At 45.1% G+C, this 4373-nt stretch overlaps 5 annotated features.

Annotated features, from left to right (window-relative positions):
* Positions 288 to 387: a silencer, noted in NCBI's record as "silent region_5664". NCBI's record gives its function as "represses an Ori minimal core promoter by ATAC-STARR-seq in GM12878 lymphoblastoid cells {active_cell/tissue: GM12878}" and the evidence as "EXISTENCE:reporter gene assay evidence [ECO:0000049][PMID:35858748]".
* Positions 1621 to 2820: an enhancer, noted in NCBI's record as "CDK7 strongly-dependent group 2 enhancer chr14:34965742-34966941 (GRCh37/hg19 assembly coordinates)". NCBI's record gives its function as "activates an origin of replication core promoter dependent on BRD2, BRD4, P300/CBP, MED14 and CDK7 cofactors, with strong dependence on CDK7, by STARR-seq in HCT116 cells {active_cell/tissue: HCT116}" and the evidence as "EXISTENCE:reporter gene assay evidence [ECO:0000049][PMID:35650434]".
* Positions 1621 to 2879: a biological region, named in NCBI's record as "CDK7 strongly-dependent group 2 enhancer GRCh37_chr14:34965742-34966941".
* Positions 2191 to 2879: an enhancer, noted in NCBI's record as "NANOG-H3K27ac hESC enhancer chr14:34965683-34966371 (GRCh37/hg19 assembly coordinates)". NCBI's record gives its function as "activates a minimal SCP1, AML or CMV promoter by ChIP-STARR-seq in primed H9 embryonic stem cells {active_cell/tissue: H9 hESC(primed)}" and the evidence as "EXISTENCE:reporter gene assay evidence [ECO:0000049][PMID:30033119]".
* Positions 2880 to 3569: an enhancer, noted in NCBI's record as "H3K27ac hESC enhancer chr14:34964993-34965682 (GRCh37/hg19 assembly coordinates)". NCBI's record gives its function as "activates a minimal SCP1, AML or CMV promoter by ChIP-STARR-seq in primed H9 embryonic stem cells {active_cell/tissue: H9 hESC(primed)}" and the evidence as "EXISTENCE:reporter gene assay evidence [ECO:0000049][PMID:30033119]".

Genomic DNA, 4373 nt, shown 5'->3' with positions numbered 1-4373 from the left:
GAGCTGAGATCACGCCACTGCACTCCAGCCTGGGCAACAAGAGCAAAACTCCATCTCAAAAAATAATAAAAATAGAATAAAATATAATGTTCCATACTCATCTACTTTTTCATCTAGTCAAACACGGTGTCCAGGTTATGTTCATCCCTTGTGGACCATCACAACCATCTTCCAACTGGTTTTCTTGCTCCTAACCTCCCCTCCATTCACAGCTTCATCTATTCATCATGAATTGAGTTCCTCCTGTGTGCCAGGTGCAATTTACAGATCAGTGACAGGGGCTCTGCTCTCAATGAGTTGAGATGAACAGGGAAAACAGGTAAACCAACAACCCCAATATTGTGGTTGGCGTGTGCCATGGCACAAATATAACAGCAGGTGCCACCAGAGTATAGAAGAGAAGGATTAGGGACAGCTTTCAAGAAGAGAGAATGTTTGAGCCAAGTCTTACAGGATTAGTATGAATTGGCCAGGAATTCAGCCCTGTGAGGCTAACTTTCTTTGACCAAACTCTGAGAATTTTTTTTCTCTGAATGCAAATTTTCCGTGTATATATTTTCAAGACAGAGTCTTGCTCTGTTGAGCAGGCTGGAGTGCAGTGGTGCAGTCATGGCTCACTGCAGCCTCTACCTCCCAGGCTCAAGCAATCCTCCCTCTCAGCTTCCCAAGTAGCTGGGACTATAGGTGTGCCCACCATGCCTTGCTAATTAAAAAACAATTTTTTTTTTTTTTTTAGAGACAAGGGTTCACTATGTTGCCCAGGCTGGTCTCAAATTCCTGGGCTCAAGCAATCCTCCCACCTGGGCTTCCCAAACTGCTGGGATTACAGGTGTGAGGCACCATGCCTGGTCCCATATCTTACTTTTCTTTTAAAGCAGACTTTAAGGCTCTTAAAATGCTATTTTCACATTTTAATAATCATAATTCAAGGACAGAATTAAGTTTTAAGCTAACAAATGACTATATTTATTAAGAAACTGAATCTCAGGCATAAATTTGCTAAATGTTTTTCCCTGCAACACCTGTATAGTCATATCCCAAATACTATACTAAACAGATTGTTATGTAGCCTTTTTGAGACCAGCAGGGTTCTCATAGATTGCGATGCAGTCCTAGCCCATTCAGGCACAGACTTGGAATCTGAGAAAGTCAGGTTTATTAACCCGTTGCAATGAGGTAGACTGTACACCAGAGGACCAAAGGACAGTTTTTTGTTTGTTTTTCTGTGTGTGTGTTTTATTTTATTTATTTATTTTTTTTTGAGAGGGAGTTTTGCTCTTGTCCAGGCTAGAGTGCAGTGGCATGATCTGGGCTCACTCCAATCTCCGCTTCCCAGGTTCAAATGATTCTCCTGCCTCAGCCTCCCAGTAGCTGGGATAACAGACGCCTGCCACCACGCCTTGCTAATTTTTGTATTTTTAGTAGAGACGGGTCCAGGCTGGTCTAGAACTCCCGACCTCAAGTGATCCGCCTGCCTCAGCCTCCCAAAGTGCTGGGATTACAGGCATGAGCCACCACGCCTGCCCTCAAAGGACAGTTTATGTAGGATTTGGGGGAAGGGTGGAGATAAACTTTCAATGAAGCAGTGTTTTGACAACTCAAAGCAAAACAGGGCTTGTGTAAAAAAATCAATGTCAGGCCTGAACTGCAAAATGCCCTTAGAGTGCTGTTTCCTTGGAAACTGCAAAGTTTAGATGAGGAATGCTGTGTACACAGATCCCCATTCGGAAGCCTTAGACTTGGGTTGTCAATTAAGGCTGCTTCTCTGTATTAAGGTGACTTAGAGTCACCTGGCCAAGAGTGGAATATTTCATTCTTACTGATAGAATTTCATACAGCAAAGTTTCTGATACTCTGTGATTTCAAAGAACAAAGGATTTCAGTAAGAGAGCAGTGGTCATTCAAAGAAGACAATACTTTACAGCTGTAATGTGTCATTGGGAGAGACGCTTTCTTCTTAATTTTGTAGATGCCTTTATGTGTGTCTGTTATCCTAATCTGGGCAGCACAGAGTTTTAACTTTCTCAGTCCTACCAATTTTTCATCAGTGCTCATGTTACAATAAAGCAGGATCTGTAGATGAAACCAAAGCTGCCTGAGTGAAGCCTGTGGCTGGTTGGCCTCTGTTGCTGGCATGGGCTGCTTGCCTTGCAGGGGTAATGGAATTGTGCGTAATGCTTACGTATCTGGGCTGTGAGCTTCTTGCGACCCGGGCCTTTGAAAGATTCCATTTGTTCTACCAGTTCCCGGAACACACTGTTGAGACAACTCAGAGATGAGTCATCGGGGTTGCTCCCAAGTTTTTACTGATCTGCAACTCTCAACGGATCCAAGATGGGGGTAGTGAGCGCCACCTGTCTCCTGACCAACTTGTCCTCACAATCCCAAGGGCTGTAAAGGCGCTAATGACTCTGGTTGTTGCTTGATTAGCAAATAATCATTTGCATATGTGTCAAAATCGGCTAACTTGAGCCTTCACGCAGAGCCTTAAGCCACGCTGTGAGCTACTTGCAGAATCTCTGGCCCCGCCTTCAAAAGCAAGGCCTCTCCTTTAGTGATGGAGGAAGCACTAATGCTTCCTCTTTGCACAAGCTCTGATGGGAAAATGTGATAATGCTCTTCCAGAACATCCTTAAATAAAATGCAAACAGGTAAGCAATAGTCATGAATTTCTCAACATTAGCACTTACAGAATCCAAAAGAAGTAATCTCATGTTTAAATGAATTCTTAACATCTTAGACCACCTTGGTGTGTAATTCCTCTGTGCTGACGTAGAAGTAGCTAACATTAATGACTTTAAAGGCTCCCAAACGAAGTGGCTTTTCCTGTCCCCTGTTCTTGTGTTTTTGTTTGTTTGTTTTGTTTTTGAGACAGTTTCCCTCTGTTGTCCAGGCTGGAGTGCAGTCACCTGATCTTGGCTCACTGCACCATCCGCCTCCCAGGTTCAAGTGATTCTCCTGCCTCAGCCTCCTGAGTAGCTGGGGTTACAGGTGCGTGCCATCACACAGGCTAATTTTTGTATTATTAGTAGAGACGGGTTTTCTCCATGTTGGCCAGGCTGGTCTCCAACTCCTGGCCTCAAGTGATCGGCCTGCCTTGGCCTCCTACTGCTGATTACAGGCGTGAGCCAACGCGCTAGGCTCTGTTCCTGGGTCTGTAAATTGCCAAACAGGTGGGAGTTCCCCAGGGTTCCCATGCATGTGCAGAAATGCCAGGTTTTGCAGGGCTTTAGGGACTAGGGCCAGAGTAATCTTTCTTCTTTTACTGAGTAACCTGCTTTATAAAGTAACTTCGGCTTTTTTTTTTTTTGAGATGGAGTTTCACTTATTGTCGCCCAGGCTGAAGTGCAATGGCATGATCTCAGCTCACTGCAACCTCTGCCTCCCAGGTTCAAGAGATTCTCCTGCCTCAGCCTCCCAAGTAGCTGAGATTACAGGCATTAGCCACCACACCTGGCTAATTTTTGTATTTTTAGAAGAGATGGGGTTTCGCCATGTTGGCCAGGCTGGTCTTGAACTCCTGACCTCAGGTGATCTGCCCGCCTCGGCCTCCCAAGGCACTGGGATTACAGGCATGAGTCACCGTGCCTGGCCAACTTTGGCTTTTAAGTGTTTAGCTTTTGGTTCAGAATTACTTTATTGAATAAAATATAGTGGTCCCTGCTTATTAGTCCCTGCTTCCCCCTTTTCTTCTTTTTTACCTAATAAAACCCTGCTTTACTCATCCTTCAGACCATCTACGAGCCTCAGTTGTCTTGGCCATGGGATGGACAAGGACCCCATCTTTAGCTGAACTAAGGAAAAGTTCTGCAACACAAGGCTGCCAAGATGGCTTTCCTTTTTTTTTTTTTTTTTTTTTTTTGAGATGAAGTCTCGCTTTGTCGCCCAGGCTGGAGTACACTGGTGTGATCTCAGCTCACTGCAACTTCCGCCTCCTGGGTTCCAGCGATTCTCCTGTCTCAGCCTCCCAAGTAACTGGAATTACAGGTGTGCATTACCACGCCTGGCTAATTTTTGTATTTTTAGTAGAGACGGGGTTTTGCCACATTGGCCAGGCTGGTCTGGAACACCTGACCACAGGTGACCCACCCTCCTCAGCCTCCCAAAGTGCTGGGATTACAGGCATGAGCCACTGCACCGGGCAAGACAGCTTTCCTCTATATGACATGTGATAAATAATTCCTAGGGAGGATCACAGTCTGTCAAAATATATCATGTGCCTTCGTAGAGATTCCCAGAGAGCATTACACGGATGACACAGACTTGCGTGAAATGTGCCTTCCCCAGTGTGTTTTGTTTTTGTTTTTTTGAGACGGGGTCTTGTTTTGTTGCCCAGGCTGGGGAGCAATGGTACAGTCAGAGCTCACTGCCAC

This window comes from Homo sapiens, chromosome 14, assembly GCF_000001405.40.
Source record: "Homo sapiens chromosome 14, GRCh38.p14 Primary Assembly".
NCBI lineage: Eukaryota > Metazoa > Chordata > Mammalia > Primates > Hominidae > Homo > Homo sapiens.
Note: the sequence above shows the minus strand (reverse complement) of the source record. Positions and strands in the feature narration are given on the sequence as shown.